The following is a 19187-nucleotide window of genomic DNA, read 5'->3' on the forward strand; positions in this document are numbered from 1 at the left end:
TGACCTCATGATCCGCCCACCTTGGCCTCCCAACGTGCTGGGATTACGGGAGTGAGCCATCACGCCCGGCCTAATTTTTTGTATTTTTAGTAGACACAGGGTTTCGCTACATTGGCCAGGCTGGTCTCGGACTCCTGACCTCGTGATCCACCCGCCTCGGCTTCCCAAAGTGCTGGGATGGGATTACAGGCGTGAGCCACTGCCCCTGGCCAAGGTTTCCATTTTTATGCAAGATCTTGGCTTTGACTCTGAGCTCCCCTTGATCAATTTAGCCAATGATTTTTCCCTACCTAAACATGCAAGAAGAAACAAAGGGGATAGAACACAAAAATCCTTGTGAATTTCCTAAAGCCAAAATTTACATCCTCTGTATGATTATCCATTTTACTGCCAGTTTCTGAGTCAGTCATACATCTAAAGCCTCTAGCTCGATCTAATCCAATTAATTATTGGATTTAATTTGATCCTCGACCCAGTCTAGTTTCTGTTGTGACTTCCGAACACAGTTCACATAAAAAATTTGCTAAAACAAACTCAGATAGCACAAAACACAAATCTGTGAAGCTTCAGAATCTGAGAGGGAACTTACCCATGAGCCTCAGTTGCTGTGAGAGAGCAATGGATGCAATGGACCCTGGTGGAGGGGGTTACCTCTCTGGGTCACTTGATGCTCCTAGGGGTTACTGGAAGTTCTACTTCATGTTCCAATTCTGACACCATCTGTTAAAAGAAAAACGTTGGACAAATTCAATAACAGAGTTTAATTGAGCAATTTAACAGAGTTTAATTCATGAATCAAACAGCCCCCTGAGCCAGAATAGACTCAGAGAGACCCCAGCACTGCCACATGGTTGGAGAGGATTTATGGACAGAAAAAGAAAGTCATGTACAGAAAGAAAAAGTTAGGTGCAGAAATAGCTGATTGCTTACAGCTTGGCATTTGCCTTATTTGAACTTGGTTTGAGCAGTTTGCTGCCTTTGATTGGCAGAAACTTGGTGATTGGTACAAGAGTATGTTACACTGTGTTTACCCATCCAGTTAGGTTACAATTCACTGTGCGCAGAGAAAACTTCAGGCCAAACTTAAAATATGTAAGGAGGCAGCTTTAGGTTAAATTTAATTTAATAATTTAAAAAATGATTGTCAAACCTGAGGTTACCCAAATTTTCTTCTATGTTTTACTGAACGTTTTCTTATTTTATATTTTACGTTTTGGTCCATGATACAACTTATGCTGTTTTCTGTAAGAGATGTGGGTAAAGCTTGTAGGTTGTTTTGTTTTGTTTTGTTTTATAACGTAGATATCCAGTTGTCCGAAAACTATTTGTTAAAAAGACTATATTTTCTTCATTGAATTGTCTTTGCTCCTTGTCAAAGATCAGTTGACTATGTTTGTGTGGGTCAATGTCTGGGCTCTCTATTCTGATCCATTGATCTATGTAACTAATCTCACAAGTACCACACTGTGTTTGTTACTGGAAAGGGGTCCCAATCCAGACCCCAAGGGAGAGTTCTTGGATCTCAAGCAAGAAAGAATTCAGGACAAGTCCATAGAGTAAAATGATAGTAAGTTTATTAGGAAAGTAAAGAAATACAGAACGGCTACTCCATAGACAGAGCAGCCCCAAGGGCTGCTGGTTTCCCATTTTTGTGGTTATTTTTTACGATATGCTAAACAAGCGGTGGATTATTCATGCTTCTCCTTTTTAGACCATCTAGGGTAACTTCCTGATGTTGCCATGGCATTTGTAAACTGTCATAGTGCTGGTAGGAGTGTAACAGTGAGGACGACCAGAGGTCACTCTCATCACCATCTTGGTTTTGGATTTTGGCCGACTTCTTTACTGCAAACTATTTTATCAGCAAGGTCTTTATGACGTGTATCTTGTGCCAACCTCCTATTTCATCCTGTGAGTTAGAATGCATTAACCATTTGGGAATGCAGTCCAGTAGGTTTTAGCCTCATTTTACTCAGCCGCTATTCAAGACGGAGTTGCTCTGGTTCAAATGCCTCTTACATCTTGGTTACTATTGCCTTAAAATATATCTTGACATCTGGTAGTATGAGTCTAATTATGTTTTTCTTCACTATTACGTTGACTATTACAGGTCTTTTACCTTTCCAGATAAACATAGCAATCAGTTTATTGATACCTACAAAACAGCTAGCTACCATTTTGGTTGGGATTGTGTAAAATCTATAGACCGAGTTGGGAAGAACTGATGTATTAACACTATTGGATCTTCCAATGTATAAAAACAGTATGTCTCTTCACTTATTTAGGTCTTTTGTTTATTTCATTAGAGTTTTACAGTTATTCACATATAGATTCTAAACTTACAAAAAATTATACCTAGATATTTTACTCTATTTTCAGTTTGATTGTAGAGTAAACCAAAAATTGTCTACCCCAAAATATATTTCTCCGACATATTTTGAGATGGCTATTCAGAGAGCCTGCAGACAGGAATAGCCCTGCAAAGTTGCCTTTTGTGGAGGAGATTTGCATCTGTAGAGAAAATCTGCATTAGTGAAATAAACAGCCAGGCTTTCTCTGAGCCCCTCCCCCATTGTCTGCATCTAAGAAAGATTAACTCAACCACAGGCTATAATCTATTCTTTCTGAGAGCTGCTACCTGTGCAGCAGGTACATAACAAGACCACCTTTGCAAGCCATCCCTTTCCTCTTCTCTCCCTCTGTTAACATATCTTGCCATGTTCCAAGCTCCCATTCTTTCTGTAACCTCAAGATGGTACAAAAGCATCAACTATCTGGCTCTTCCTTTGAGTTTTTATATTTTGTATGGCTCCAGTGCTTATAGATGCATGTAAATACATTTTGTATGTCTTTTTTTTCCCATTAATTTGCCTTTGGCCAGTTGATTTTCAGTGAACCTTCAGAGGGCAAAGGGATAGTTTCCCCTTGACCCCTACAACTATAATTGTGTTGCTTTTTCCAAAATTTCAAAATCCAATTATACATTGCTGATAAAAAGGAGACAATTGACTTGAATATTAACCTTACATTCTTCAACTTTTCAATACTAGCCTATTAGTTGTGGGAGTTTTTTGTTGTTGTTGATTCATTGGGATATTATATACAAACAATCATGTCATCTGTGAACAAAGACAGTTTTGTTTCTTCCTTCACAAACTATATATATTTCCTTTTCTTCTCTTATTCCACAGGGTAGAGGTCCATTATGATCATGAACAGAAGTGCTAAGAAAGAATTTACATGCCATATTCCTGATCTTAGGAGAAAAGGATTTAGTTTTATACCACTGAATATAATGTAAGCTGTAAAATTGGAAGACGGTTCTTTCTTTTTTCTCTTTCTTTCTTTCTTTTTCTCTTTCTTTCTTTCTTCCTTTTATTTTCGATTCAGGAGTACAGGTACAGGTTTGTTATGCATGTAAATTGCATGTCACAGGGCTTTGATGTGCAGATGATTTTATCATCGGTTTAATCAGCATAGGTAGTTTTTCTATCCTCACCCTCCTCCTACCCTCCAACCTCAGGTAGGCCCTATTGTCTGTTGTTCCCTTTTTGTTTCCATGTGTACTCAATATTTAGTTCCTACTTATAAGTGAGAACACGAGGTATTTGGTTTTCTGTTCCTGTTAGTTTGCTTAGGATAATGGCCTCCAGCTCCACTCATGTTGCTGCAAAGGACATAATCTTATTCATTTTTATGACTGCATAGTTTTCCACTCTGTATATGTGCCACATTTTCTTTATCCATTCTACTTCTGATGGATATTAAGGTTGATTCCATGTCTTTGCTATTGTGAATAGTGCTGCAATGAACATGATTCCATGAGTCTTTATGGTATAACAATTTATATTCCTTTGGGTATATATCCAATAATGGGATTGCTAGGTCAAATAGTAATTCAGTTTTAAGTTCTTTGAGAAATCACCAAACAATGACTGAACTAATTTACATTCCCATATAACTAATTTACACTATACAGCAGCGTATAAGCTTTCCTTTTCCCCACAACCTTGCCATGATTTGTTATTTTTTGACTTTTTAAAAATAGCCACTCTGACTGGTGTGATGGTATCTCATAGTGGTGTTGATTTGCATTGCTCTAATGATTAGTGAAGATGAGCATTTTTTCATATGCTTATTGGCCACATATATATCTTCTTTTGAAAAGTGTCTGTTCATGTCCTTTGCCCACTTTGTAATTGGGTTGTTTGGTTTTTGTTGCAGGAAGTCAAGGACCCCAAACGGAGGGACCGGCTGAAGCCATGGCAGAAGAATGTGGATTGTGAAGATTTCATGGACATTTATTAGTTCCCCAAATTAATACTTTTATAATTTCTTATGCCTGTCTTTACTGCAGTCTCTAAACATAAATTGTGAAGATTTCATGGACACTTATCACTTCCCCAATCAATACCCTTGTGATTTCCTATGCCTGTCTTTACTTTAATCTCTTAATCCTGTTAGCTGAGGAGGATGTATGTCACCTCAGGACTCATGTGATAATTGTCTTAACTGCACAAATTGTAGAGCATGTGTGTTTAAACAATATGAAATCTGGGCACCTTGAAAAAAGAACAGGATAATAGCAATTGTTTAGGGAATAAGGGAGATAACCTTAAACTCTGACGGCTGGTGAGCTGGGCGGAACAGAGCCATATTTCTCTTCTTTCAAAAGCAAATGGGAGAAATATTGCTGAATTCTTTTTCTCAGCAAGGAACATCCCTGGGAAAGAGAATACGTGCCTGGGGGGAGGGTCTCTGAAATGGCCCCCTTGGGTGTGGCCGTCTTCTATGGTCGAGACTGTAGGGATGAAATAAACCCCAGTCTCCCACAGTGCTCCCAGGCTTATTAGGAAGAGGAAATTCCCACCTAATAAATTTTGGTCAGACCGGTTGCTCTCAAAACCCTGTCTCCTGATAAGATGTTATCAATGACAATGGTGCCTGAAACCTCATTAGAAATTCTAATTTCGCCCCAGTCCTGTGGTCCTGTGATCTCGCCCTGCTTCCATTTGCCTTGTGATATTCTATTACCTTGTGAAGTACGTGATCTCTGTGACCCACACCTATTCGCACACTCCCTCCCCTTCTGAAAGTCCCTAATAAAAACTTGCTGGTTTTGTGGCTTGTGGGGCATCATGGAAAAAACCTACTGACACGTGATGTCTCCCCCGGATGCCCAGCTTTAAAATTTCTCTCTTTTGTACTCTGTCCCTTTATTTCTCAAAGCGGCCGATGCTTAGGGAAAATAGAAAAGAACCTACGTGACTATCAGGGCAGGTTCCCTGATAGGTTTTGGTTGTTAATTTGTTTAAGTTCCTTATAAATTCTGGATATTAGACCTTTGTTGGATGCACAGTTTGCAAATGTTTTCTCCCATTCTGTAGGCTGTCTGTTTACTCTGTTGATAGTTTCTTTTGCTGTGCAGAACCTCTTTGGTTTAATTAGGTCCCATTTGTCAACTTTTGGTACTGTTGCAAATTCTTTTGGTGTCTTCTTCATGAAATCTTTGCCAGGGCCTATGTCCAGAATGGTATTCCCTAGGTTATCTTCCAGGGTTTTTATAGTTTTAGGTTTTGCATTTAAGTCTGCAATCTCTCTTGAGTTGATTTTTGTACATGGTCTAAGAAAGGAGTCCAATTTTAGTCTTCTGCCAATGGCTAGTCTGTTAACACAGCAGCATTTATTTAATAGGGAATCCTTTCCCCATCGCTTGTTTTTGTCAGGTTTGTCAAAGACCAGGTGGTTGTAAGTGTGCAGCATTATTTATGGGCTCTCTTGCCTGTTCCATTTGTCTATATATCTGTTTTTGTACCAGTACCATGCTGTTTGGGTTACTGTAGCCTTGTGATACAGTTTCAAGTCAGGTAACATGATGCCTCCAGCTTTGCTCTTTTTGCTTAGGACTGTCTTGGCTATTTTTGTTGTTGTTGTTCCATCTGAATTTTAAAATGGTTTTTTCTAATTCTGTAAAGAATCAGAAAGATGGCAGATAGAAGGCTCGACCAACTGTCCCTCTATAAGGACACCAATTTAACAACTATCTACACACAAAAAAAGCACCAGCATAAGAACCAAGAATCAGGACAGCACTCATAGTACCTGGTTTTAAGTTGATATTACTGAAAGAGGCACTGAAGAAATAGAGAAAAGAGTTTTGAATCACCAGCATCTCCTCTCCTGCATCCCCCAGCAGTGGTGGTGTGGTGTGGAGAGTATTTCTGTGCAGTAGTGAGAAGAGCAGAAAGCAAAACAAGACCAAACTCAGGTGACACCCAAGGAGGGAGCCTTTAAACCAGCCCTAGTCAGAGCAGAATCACAGATCCCAGTGGTCAGAACTTGAGCTCCCACAAGCCTTGGCACCACAGGCTACAGAGTTCTGGGGTAACAAATAAACCTGAAAGACAGTCTAGGCCACAAGAATTGTAACTCCTAGGTGACTCCTAGTGCCGAACTGGTCCCACAGATAATAGACTAGGGAGGGCATGACCTACGAAGACACCAGCTGAAACAGCCAAGGGAGTGCTGGAATCACCCCTTCTCTAATTCCAGGTTGCACAGTCTGTAGCTCCAAAAGAGACCCCTTCTTTCTGCTTGAGGAGAGGAGATGAAAGAGTAGAGAAAATGTTTTCTTGCATTTTGGATACCAGCTCAGCCATAGCAGGCAAGGTCCCCGGTCAGAGTCGTGAGGCCCCTCTTTCCAGGCCCTTGCTTCCAAACAACATTACTAGACACACTGGGCCAGAAGGAAACCCATTTCCCTGTAGGGAAGGACTCAGTCCTGGCAGAATTCAACACCTGTTAACTAAAGAGGCCTTGGGCCTTAAATAAACAGCAGTGATGTCCAGGTATATTAAGGAACTTAGGTGAGACATTGAGATTTGCTGGTGTCTGGTGAGACTTAGCACATTCCCAGCTGTGGTGGCTACAATGAAAGACTCCTTATGCCTGAGAAAAGTAGAAGGAAAAATAAAAGGGTCTTTGTCTTGCACTTTAGGTACCAGCTCAGCCACCGGGGGCAGAGTACCAGTGAGCTCTTGGGATCCCTGATTCTAGAACTTGGCTCTTGGACAGAATTTCTGGATGTGCCCTGGACCAGAAGGGAGCCCATTGCCTTAAAGTGTGAGTCCCAGGCCAGACAGCATTCACCACAAACTGACTTAAGAGGCCTTGAGCTTTAAGAAAACATTGATGGTAGTCTGGCAGTACTTCCCATTGATTTGAGGTGGTGGTGGCCATACAGTGAGGCTCCTCTGCCTTTAGAAAGGGTAGGAAAGAGTGGGAAAGACTGCATCTTATGGTTTGAGTGCCACCTCAGCCTTAGTACAATAGAACACCAGGTAGATATGTAAGGTTTTTTACTCTAATCCCTGGCTCCTGAACAGCACCTCTAGATTCACCAGGGGCCTGGAGGAACTTGCCACCCTGAAGGAAAGGACACAGGCCTGGCTGACTTAGCTACTTGCTGATCATGAGGCCCCAGGGCTTTGAGAAAACATAGGTAGTAACCAGCAAGTGGTTAGAGCAGGGCTTTGTTGAGACTCAATGCTGGGCTGGCTTTAGGTCAGACCCAGCATAGTTCTAGGACTGGTAGCCACAGGGGTGCTTGTGTCACTCCACCCCTGGTTCAGGTGGCTCAGAACAGAGCGAGACTTCATTTGTTTTGAAGAATGTAACGGAAGAGAACAAGAGCCTCTGCCTAGTAATCCAGAGAATTATTCCCAATTTTTGCCAAGAACTTCAAGGTGGTACCTCTACAAGTCTGCAAGAACTGCAGTGTTACCAGGTTTGGGATTCCCCCTAAAGCAGATATAGCTTAGACAGCACCACCCAAGTTCTTTCAAATATCTGGAAAGCCTTCCCAAGAAGGAAGGGTACAAACAAGCCCTGACTGCAAAGACTACAGTAAATACCTAACCCTGCAATGCCCAGACACAGACGAACATCCACAAGTATCAAGATGACCCAGGAAAACATGACCTCACTAAATGAACTAAATAAGGCACCAGGAATCAGTCCTGGAGAAACAGAGGTATGTGATCTTTTAGACAGAATTCAAAATAGCTATTTTGAAGAAACTCAAAAATATTCAAGATAACACAGAGAAAGAATTCAGAACTCTGTCAGATAAATTCAACAAAGAGATTGAAATAATTACAAAGAAATGAGCAGAAATTCAGGAGCTGAAAATTGCAGCTGGTATACTGAACAATGCATCAGAGTCTTTTAAAAGCGGAAGAAAGAATTAGTGTGCTTGCAGACAGGCTATTTGGCTATCAGCAGCCCTCGGGCTGCTCTGTTTACAGAGTAGCCATTCTTTTATCCCTTTACTTTCTTAATAAATTTGCTTTCACTTTGCACTGCGGACTCGCCCTGAATTCTTTCTTGCATGAGATCCAAGAACCCTCTCTTGGGGTCTGGATCCGGATCCCCTTTCCTGTAACATTAGCATATCAATTATTCTCATTAAAAAAAAAGTTTTTAGTGTTTTCCAATGTATTAAATAATATTAAACTAATCTTAGTCTACTTTCAAATAACTCTATACCACTTTACATGTTGTTCACATACTGTATAACAGAATATCCCCAGTAGCTCCCTCTCATACCTTGTGAAATTGCTGTCATTTATTTTACTTATCCGTATGCTAAAATCACCCATCACACTGTTACCATTATTACTTTAAACAAAGACATATTTTAATTTACTTATCAATTTTAAAAAATTATGCCTTCATTTCTTTCTTTCCTGATGCTCCTTCCTTCTTTATGTAAATCAAAGTTTCCAGCCTATACAATTTTCATTTCATTATCCGTTTTTACCTTTCTTCTAGGGCAGAACTGCTGGTGATGAATTCCCTCAGTTGTTGTTTTCCTAAGAAAGTCTTTAATTATCTGTAATTTGTAGGGCAATCTAACAGGATATAGAATCCTAGGTTGGTGGTTTTTCTTTGAACTCTTCCAATATTTTAGTCAACTCTCTCCTTGCTTGCATGGTTTGTGACAAGAAGTCTACTGTAATTCTCATCTTTTTTCCTTTCTATGTAAAGTATTTAATTTTCTCTGGCTTCTTTCAAGATTTTTCTCTTTGTCTTTGGTTTTCTTCAGTTTGAATATGATATAACTGGTTGTAGTTTTTTTGGAACTTTTCCTGGCTGGTGTTCTGTAAGCTTTCTGGATCCGTGGTTTGGTATATGTCATTAATTTTGAGAAATTCTCCTCTACTATTACTTGAAATATTTCTTCTGCTCTGTTCTCTCTTCTCCACTGCTATTCTAATTCCACATGTCACGTTAGACAAAGTATCCTACATTTCTGAGATAATGTTTTATTATTATTATTTTTCTCTTTGTATTTTATTTTGGGAAATTTCTATTGACCTATCTTCATGCTCACTATTTTCTTGGTGTTCAACCTACTGATAAGTATATCATAGACATTCTCCATTTTTGTTGTAGTGTTTTTGTTTTCCAGCATTTTCTATTGATACTCTCTTACAATTTCAATGTCTTTGCATAGCTTCCCCATATTTTCTTGCTTTTACCTATTTTTTCCATTAGATCCCTTAACATATTATTCATAATTACTTTACATTTCCTGTTCTATGTCATATCTGATCATGGTTCTGATGCTTAGTTTGTGGTTTTTCTTGTCTTTTGGCGTGACTTGTAATTTTCTGGTTAAAGCTGGACATGATATGTCATGTAATAAAAATTTAGATATTTTTTCTAGGCCTTTAGTGTGTGGTCTTATGTTAATTTGGCTAAGAGCTCTGCTGTGTTTTATGTTTACTGTAGCTGTGGGTGCCAAGGGCTTTACATTTCTCTTGTATCCTTATTTTTGTCTCCTGTGTTATTTTGGGATTTCCTAAAAACTCATTCTCAGACACAATTTGCATCTTGCAGCTCTTTCAGCTACTATTGTAGTGGAGCCCTGTTGGTATGCTGGTAAAGTGTGAGGAAGAAGGGATATTCTATAATCATATAATTAAATCTGTTTTATCAGTGCGCCTGTGTCCCAAGGCTGTGTGACCTATGCTTAGATCTCTTAGTCTTTTTCTTCCCCCTTAGATGAGACAGAAAGGTCAGAGGGGGCCAGGGTGGGAGAGATGCCCTTCCCCCAGATAAGATAAGACTAGTAATGTCATTTCCCCCGAAGAATAAGGCCTTTGCTCTGGAGAATACTCGGTGTGCTTGTCACAATGGTTACTCCTCCCCTCCCTTGATAAAGCCAGGGGAGAATCTTTCTTAAGTTTTTCACAGTAAGGATCTGGTATAGTTCCTGAAGATAAAACCCACAAAAATGTAGGGCCCTCCTAGCAGCATAGCATCCCTCCACCCCAGGATTTCTCACTTTCAAGCTAGTCTATATTCAGCTCCAGCAGTTAATTAACATTACAAGTTAAATGTCCCCACCAAGTTATGGCTACAGTGGCTTTTTCTTCAGGTAAGCAGATCTTGGCTGTGACTCGCTGGATTTGCCTATTTTTCCAGATTTGGGCCAATCTCAGTTCTCTAATGCATCCAAGAAAAAATGTTGAGTTTTAGTTTGTTTAGTCTTTTCTTGTGGTATGAACAGGAGTGATGACTTCCAATCTTTACTTGTTGAAGCTGAAACTAGAAGTCTTAGGTTTTCATTTTTATAATTATATTTTTATTTTTGTGATTTCTGGGTACTTTTTAAATGGATGGAATGTAATATCCTCTAGAATATTTAATATTCAAAACAAATTATAGGAAGATCTTAAAATAAGTAAAATGTGTCTTGCCTCCTTGTGTATTATTCCTTTCATTTGTGGAGTAAGTTGCCATTCTTTTGAGTTGTAGGTCCTCTTCAAATGTTTGGTTATATTTGCCATTCAGGATCCCTGCTCTACTTTATGTAGATGCCATGTCTGACTACAGAAGACTGTTTCTGAAATCTTTGAGAGTTTGGCTGGATATGCTACTGAAGAGGTTGTGCTCAATGCTTTGCATTTGGGGTAAAGAATCTGTTTCTCCTAATACATTGCCCTGATTCTCCTTCCAAATGATAAAATCCTTCATCAGCAAATACATGAATAAGCGGAGGTTCCACCAGGCTTGTGCTCTAAAAAAGTTTTAGTTAAGCATCCTGATTATTTTCCCAGAGCCCTTTTATTTTCTCTAATTTCATCATATCTGAGACTAAACAACCTCTGAAATTATCCTCCCTTTTAATTATCTTTTTTCAATGTGTTTTGGTCTGTGGCCTCTTTCTTTCATTCAATTCATCAATGTTCTATCTTTTAGAAAGCCTTCAACATTTTTGATTTGCTGCTTACTCACCCTTATTTTGTTGTTTATATAAATTGCAAATGACTTTTATTACACTTTGGGATTCATTAAGGTCATTTTTCTGGAACCAGTTTCTCACATTATAAACCCATGTTTGTTAGAATGATTTTCTGATTAAACTTATAACTTCAACAGATTAAAAACAGTCATCATATCTCTATCCCTATAAATAATGATAGCTTTTACTTACAGATCTACATTATATTAACACATATATGAATAAATGAAGTATATATAATAGCTATGCTTCATCCTGTTTTTGAGTTACAGTTATTCCAGACTTATATCTACACAACTAATGGCAATATCCTTTCCTTGGTTTGGGATTAAATGAATTGGGAGAAAAAAAGAAAAGAGAAGAAAGAAAAAAAATCTTGAGAAGGAAAGAGGTTTCTATTCTTCGCCACCACTGCACAGAAAAGGAAGCCATTTGTCCTCTGGCTTCTCCATCCTTCTGCCCCATCACACTGTTCTTATGACACTGGACTCATTGGTTATGACCTACACAGATGTGGCATAACATTTCCTTCTGTTCTTTTGCTGCCTTCCCTTACATGGAACTTCATTTTTCTTCCCCTGGGCGTAGGGCAGCTATTTTCAATCTAAATAGACCAGCTGCTCATCTAGCCCCACTTAATCACCAAGCCAATGTAGAGAAGGCAAAGCATATGTACGCATCATATGTGATATTTTGTCTAATTTGTTTCCATCTTAGGTTCTATTTAGTGATCTGGTGGAGTGACCCTCACTACCACAGTCTATAATCTGTAAACATTATATGACCCCAGTGATTTTTTCCTTCTTCTAGGTATCTATTAATGGATGGTATAAGGAAATATATTGTTACTCTTCCTTTTAAGTAAAACCTTTCTGAAATGAACTACGAGTATGTTTATTTAGTTTTTATTTTATAATCATGAACTTAACTCTGCTATTCCACTAGGCACGGAAGGGAATAAGAAAAATATGGAACCCAAAGGGATTGCAGTAAGACCACAAAGATTATAGGACACTGTGAGCAAATAGGGTGAAGAAGTTCTCTTCTGACCTACAGAAAGAATGGTCTGGTGATGAAGATAAAACACAAGTCCAATTTATTAGAGTTGTTCACAGTCAGCAATGGTGATCTACTTGCTAGTCTTACCATTCCTGGACCCAAAGTGCTCCCTGGCTTCCATGATATTCATGCCTTCCTTCACTTTGCCAAAGACTATATGCTTGCCATCCAACCACTCAGTCGTGGCTGTGCAGATGAAACACTGGAAACTGTTTGTGTTGGGTCCAACATTTGTCATGGACAAGATGCCAGGACCTGTATGTTTCAGGATTCTCATCATCAAATTTCTCCCCATAGATGGACTTGCCACCACTGCCATTTTGACATGTGAAGTCACCACACTGACACATAAATCCTGGAATAATTATGGGAAAGCAGACACCCTTATAACTAAATCCTTTCTCTCCAGTGCTCAGAGCATGAAAATTTTCTGCTGTTTTGGGAAATTTGTCTGCAAACAGCTTGAAGGAAACTTGGCCCAAGGGCTCACCAGCAATAGCGTTGTTGAAGAACACAGTGAGGTTGATTGTGGCTGGTGGCAGGGGGCTCCAGGCAGTGTTGGCATCTGCAAAGCCTAACTTTTTTTTTAATAATCCAAATTGTTTGACTACTTTTCTTTCTGTTTGCTGGTCTTAAAAAATTCAAGCAATCTCCGCTCAAACCATTCAATACCTTGACAGAGCCCCAGTCATATCTGAATGAATTTTACCCAAGAACCAGAAATTTAGCCTATGATTAAAACATTTGCTTTAAGAAATTAAATTTCTGAAAGCATTTAAAATAAAATGGAGTGATCAGAAGCTTGGAATCATTACTGTTATTATTCCTGCTTTTTTTTTTATTTAGATAAAACTTACATTAACCATAAAAGAAGACTTGGGGACACAGTCTCAGCCTCACCGCTGCTGCCACCACCGTCCAGAGACTGCTGAACCCCTATCCATCTGCTACCACCACCCACTCTGGACACAGAACATCCAGTCATGGAAAAAAATGAGCTGGTTCAGAAGGCCAAACTGGCTGAGCAGGCTGAGCAATATGATAACATGGCAGCCTGCATGAAGTCTGTAACTGAGCAAGGAGCTGAATTATCCAATGAGGAGAGGAATCTTCTCTCAGTTGCTTATAAAAATGTTGTAGGAGCCCGTAGGTCATCTTGGAGGGTCATCTCAAGTATTGAACAAAAGACGGAAGGTGTTGAGAAAAAACAGCAGATGGCTCGAGAATACAGAGAGAAAATTGAGATGGAGCTAAGAGATATCTCCAATGATGTACTATCTCTTTTGGAAAAGTTCTTGATCTCCAATGCTTCACAAGCAGAGAGCAAAGTCTTCTATTTGAAAATGAAAGGAGATTACTACCGTTACTTGGCTGAGGTTGCCGCTGGTGATGGCAAGAAAGGGATTGTGGGTCAGTCACAACAAGCATACCAAGAAGCTTTTGAAATCAGCAAAAAGGAAATGCAACCAACACATACTGTCAGACTGGGTCTGGCCCTTAACTTCTCTTGTTCTATTATGAGATTCTGAACTCCCCAGATAAAGTCTGCTCTCTTGCAAAGATGGCTTTTGATGAAGGCATTGCTGAACTTGATACATTAAATGAAGAGTCATACAAAGACAGCACGCTAATAATGCAATTACCGAGAGACAACTTGACATTGTGGACACTGGATACCCAAGGAGACAAAGCTGAAGCAGGAGAAAGAGGGGAAAATTAACCGGCCTTCCAACTTTTGTCTGCCTCTTTCTAAAATTTACACAGTAGACCATTTGTCATCCATGGTGTCCCACAAATGGTTTTTTGTTTACAATTTATGGCAGATGTGTGTTACTTTTATTTGAATTTCTATATTTCCCATGTGGTTTTTATGTTTAATATTAGGGGAGTAGTGGCCAGGCACAGTGACTCATGCTTGTAATCCAAGCACTTTGGGAGGCCAAGGCGGGAAGATCACCTGAGGTCAGGAGTTTGAGACTAGCCTGGCCAACATGGTGAAACCCCTTCTCTAATAAAAATACAAAAATTAGCTGGACACGGTGGCAGGTGCCTATAATCCCAGCTACTCAGGAGGCTGAGGCAGGAGAATCGCTTGAACCTGGGAGGCAGAGGTTGCAGTGAGCCAAGATCACGCCATTGCACTCAGCCTGGGGGACAAGAGTGAGACTTCGTCTCACACAACACACACCCACAAAATATATATATATATGTATATATATGTGTGTGTATATATATGCACACACACATATATACACACATATATACACATATATATATACACACATATATACATATATACACATATATATGTATATATGTGTGTATATAAATATATATATATATATTAGGGGAGTAGAGCCAGTTAACATTTAGGGAGTTATCTGTTTTCATCTTGAGGTGGCCAATATGGGGATGTGGAATTTTTATACAAGTTGTAAATGTTTGCTATAGTACTTTCGGTACATTGTGGCTTCACAAGGGCGAGTGTTAAAACTGCGTCCATATCTAAGCAAAGAAAACTGTCTACATATTGGTTTGTCCTGGTGGGGAATAAAAGGGATCATTGGTTCCAGTCACAGGTGTAGTAATTGTGGGTACGTTAAGGTTTGGAGCACTTACAAGGCTGTGGTAGAAACAGATATCCCATGGATACCGCATGTTAAACCATGTATATCTGTGGAATACTTAATCTCACTGTGCACACCTTTGACTACAGCTGCAGAAGGGTTCCTTTAGACAAAGTTGTGACCCATTTTACTCTGGATAAGGGCAGAAATGGTTCACATTTCATTATTTGTAAAGTTACCTGCTGTTAGCTTTCATTATTTTTGCTACATTTATTTTATTTGTATTTAAATGTTTTAGGCAACCTAAGAACAAATGAAAAAGTAAAGATGCAGGAAAAATGAATTGCTTGATATTCATTACTTCATGTATATCAAACACAGCAGTAAAATAAAAACCCATGTATTTAGTTTTTTTTAAGGTTTTTTCTTTTGTGATTTTTGTTTTTTGATACTTGCCTAACATGCATGTGCTGTAAAGACAGTTAACAGGCAAATAACTTGAAATGATGGCCAGCTTGGTTTAATGTCTTATGAAATTTTCATGAACAATCCAAGCATAATTGTTAAGAACACATGTATTAAATTCATGCAACTGGAATAAAAGTTTTATGAATGGACTTTTCAACTACTTTTTCCACAGCTTTTCATGTAACTTAGTCTTTTGGTTCTGAAACTTCTCTAAAGGAAATTGTAGATTTTTTGAAATTTATTCCTTATTCCCTCTTGGCAGCTAATGGTCTTTTCCAAGTTTAAACACAAAGTTTATCATAACAACAAAAATGCTACTAATATCACTGCTGTTTGCAACCATGTCCCAAGATCCCCTCTCAAAGTTTATCATAACAACAAAAATACTACTAATATCACTACTGTTTCCAACCATGTCCCATGATCCCCTCTCTTCCTCCCCACTCTGAAAAAAATGAGCTCCTATTTTTTCTGGGAGAGGGGGAGATTGATTGGGAAAAAAAAAAAAAGGAATATGTTCCATTTAAAATTTTGGTATATGGCATTTTCTAACTTAGGAATCCACAGTGTTCTTGGCCTATCATGACGTTGGGTAGCATTAACTATGTTTTGTGCTTCCAAATCACTTTTTGGTTTCTAAGAGTTTCTTGATACTCTTATAGCTTGCCTTCAATTTTGGTCCCTTGTTCTTTCTATGTGTCAAGGGCACAAGATTACCTTCCTTTTTTAGCGTTCTGTCTTGTCACCAGCCATTCCTACTTGGTGGCCACGTACTTGGAAAAAGGCTGCATGATCTTTCTGGCTCTACTCAATATCTAAGACATCCTGCTTCCTTTGCTCGCATCCCACAAACTACTTCCCTCATCCTATTTACTGCAGCAAATCTCTCCTTAGTGTGTTTATCTCCTTTTAAAACCCTACCTATCCTGAATTGTCTGTCATTGTCTGCCTTTAAAATCCTTCCTCTTTCTCTCCCTCTATTCTCTAAATAATGATGGGGCTAAGTTACACCCAAAGCTCACTTTACAAAATATTTCCTCAGTACTCTGCAGAAAACACCAGACAAAAATGCCATTTTAAAAGGTGTGTTTTTTCTTTTAGGATGTAAGCTCCTCAAGAGCAGGGACAATGTTTTCTGTATGTTCTATTGTGCCTAGTACACCGTAAATGCTCAATAAATATTGATGATGGGAGGTAGTGAGTCTTGATGATAAGGGTGAGAAATTGAAATCCCAAACACTGTTTTGTTGCTTGTTTTATTATGACTGCAGATTAAACTGGGGACTATTGGCCCTTTTGGATAATTGTCCCAAATATTACATTCAAATAAAAGTGCAATGGAGAAAAAAAATAGGAGACTTGGAATTAAAAGATTAAAATGTACTTCTGGCTCTGCTGAATCACTTTAGGAAAGTTGAATAATATCTCTTAGCCTATTTTTTAAATCTATAAATGGTTGCATTAACTGTATGTTTCCTAAAGTCTACATTAGCTCTAAAATTATTTTATCTCTTGCATGAAGTTATTATGCTCCAAATATTTAAGGGATTACAGGTTTAAGATAATATAAACATATATTGTGAAATGCTGGCCATTTATTAAAACGGGTGTAACGAAATCTGTTGTTACACTGGGGGCAGGGAGCAAGAAGGGGGTGGATATCATACTCAGTGAAAGCAGTGACATTGAATTAAACAGCAAGTTTTCCATTTGTTTACTTGATCAATTCAAAAAAATCTCTTAAAGGCATATGAAAAGGTCACTGCAAATCTCACATTTCTGCTATTCTGTTATGAAGAACCCACTGAAAATATTTTGAAATAGCCACTTCGCCTGTGGAAAGTTTACAGAGTAAATTGACAATATGTCTTCGCTGGCAGAGGCAACCCATGAACCTGCAACAAGCCAGTTTATCACTTTTTGTTTATTTAATTTTAGATAGATGTAGCTTGAAGTGTTTTTATTTTTAGTATGAATAATAAAACTGAGGGTGATAGGAATCTGTTTGGCTCTGAGCTACCACCACTGGAATTACCAGGACTTTAAAATTCTCTCTTGCAATGGGAGATTGCTGGGCCCTTACACAATCTTCTTGGGAGCCGTTAAAACGGTCCAATTAGAGCTGTTTATCGGTTTTCATTGTGACACCTCCTGACCTTATTCTTTCCTGCACCTCAAGCCTCTAGCACAGTAGTTATGCCCTGTCTTCAAATCCTAGTCATGCTGAACCCTGGGGCCTTGATGGCTATAGCACCCTATCCTACTTGACAGGAGAAGAAAGGGACAATTTTCTATCATTGCTGTCATTATTAATGACTTTCCTATGAGTTAGATTTACTGTTTTGTTTTTTTTTTCCATCTTTGGTGAACTGGGATCAACAGGTCATTGCATGTGGATCAGAAAACAATTGATTGTTACAACTAACTATATCTGTCCCACTAACAATCAGCTTTAGAGCTTTCTTCAAGTACCTTGCCGATCACTTTTCTGGATAAGTCTCTTTTGTCTCCTTATTTCTTTAGAGTCAGGATTCCTAGGTACTGGGTTCTTCTTCCTCAGCCTTAACATTTTCCACAGGGGTCCTCTGTACTAGCTTCCAAACAACCTGAATAGTGCTTGCTAGTGCCAGATTCTTGGAAATAGATATGCATATTAGCCACCATCCCACTCCACCTTGACCTCAGGAATCATGATCCTAGTAAGTCAGAACTTTCCATGTGCAACATGAACTTGTTATCAATCCCACAAGGACCAAGAAAATGGATTCTAATGATTTTTAAAAATGATATATTGACAAATTATAGTTGTATATATTTATGGGGTAAAAAGCAATGTAATGATTTTTGAATGCAATGTGGAATGTTTAAATAGAGCTAATTAACCTATTCATCACCTCAAATATTTGGCATTTTTTGTGATAAAAAACATTTGTGGTTTACTCTCTTAGCTATATTGAAATATGCAGTATTCAGTGATTAGCTATATTCACCACACTGTGCAATAGATCTCAAAAAACAAACAAACCACAACAACAAAAACCAAAAACAAACTCATTCTTCCTATCTAAGGCTTTGTACCCTTTGTTATCATCTCGCCAATCCTCCACCATCCAGTCTCAGGTAAACACCTCTTCCCTATTTGTTTCTATGAGTTCAATTGTTTTAGACTCCACACGTCAGTAAGAACATTCAGTATTTGTCTTTATGTGTTTAGCTTATTTCACTTAGCCTAATGTCCTCCAATTCCATCTATGTTGTCATAAATGACTCCAGGGATTTTTCATCTTCCTGTAAACGTTCAGAATTTTTCAAGCTTGGAAAACTATATAAAATATTTCTTTCCAGTTCCTTACTTTTCCCCCTTATCATTTCCTGGAGTTAAATACAACCTTCCTTTTGTTTACTCTCCACACCCAAGCCCCAATTTCTATATTGTGATGATGATGATAAAAATATTGATAAGTAGATGAATAGTTAAATAGATATGTGTGTATTTGATATAGGATAGATATATTTGATATGTATCTTGCTATAGCAAGAATGTCCTAGGGATATACAGATAAATGGAATCTTCAGATTTGCCCTGTTTGCATGTTGTGACAGGTACAACTGATAAGCCTATAGCCCCCTCTACTGGGAGGATTTTCCCAGATTTATCATATGCACCTCAAGCAGGTGGTCTTTGTAAACTTTCTTTGAGTACTCTTGATCATGCCCTAATTAACTTAAAATCCCACCACTGTTCTGATTTATAGGATGCTACATGGATCCAAGCGTCTAAA

At 38.6% G+C, this 19187-nt stretch overlaps 2 long non-coding RNA genes and 2 pseudogenes across 2 annotated transcripts in view; 2 read left to right on the top strand and 2 right to left on the bottom strand.

Annotated features, from left to right (window-relative positions):
• LOC107984266 (uncharacterized) overlaps positions 1 to 12187 on the top strand; it is a 40565-nt gene extending 28378 nt beyond the window's left edge. Inside the window, exon 3 of the long non-coding RNA XR_001747580.2 lies at positions 4225 to 12187. This is a non-coding gene — a long non-coding RNA (uncharacterized LOC107984266). The remainder of the gene's footprint in view (positions 1 to 4224) is intronic.
• LINC02627 (long intergenic non-protein coding RNA 2627) overlaps positions 642 to 19187 on the bottom strand; it is a 146724-nt gene continuing 128178 nt past the window's right edge. The window contains exon 4 of the long non-coding RNA NR_120625.1: positions 642 to 720. This is a non-coding gene — a long non-coding RNA (long intergenic non-protein coding RNA 2627). The remainder of the gene's footprint in view (positions 721 to 19187) is intronic.
• On the bottom strand, positions 12415 to 12897 carry PPIAP38 (peptidylprolyl isomerase A pseudogene 38; annotated as a pseudogene).
• On the top strand, positions 13340 to 16756 carry YWHAZP5 (tyrosine 3-monooxygenase/tryptophan 5-monooxygenase activation protein zeta pseudogene 5; annotated as a pseudogene).

The sequence above is a fragment of the Homo sapiens genome, chromosome 10 (assembly GCF_000001405.40).
Source record: "Homo sapiens chromosome 10, GRCh38.p14 Primary Assembly".
NCBI lineage: Eukaryota > Metazoa > Chordata > Mammalia > Primates > Hominidae > Homo > Homo sapiens.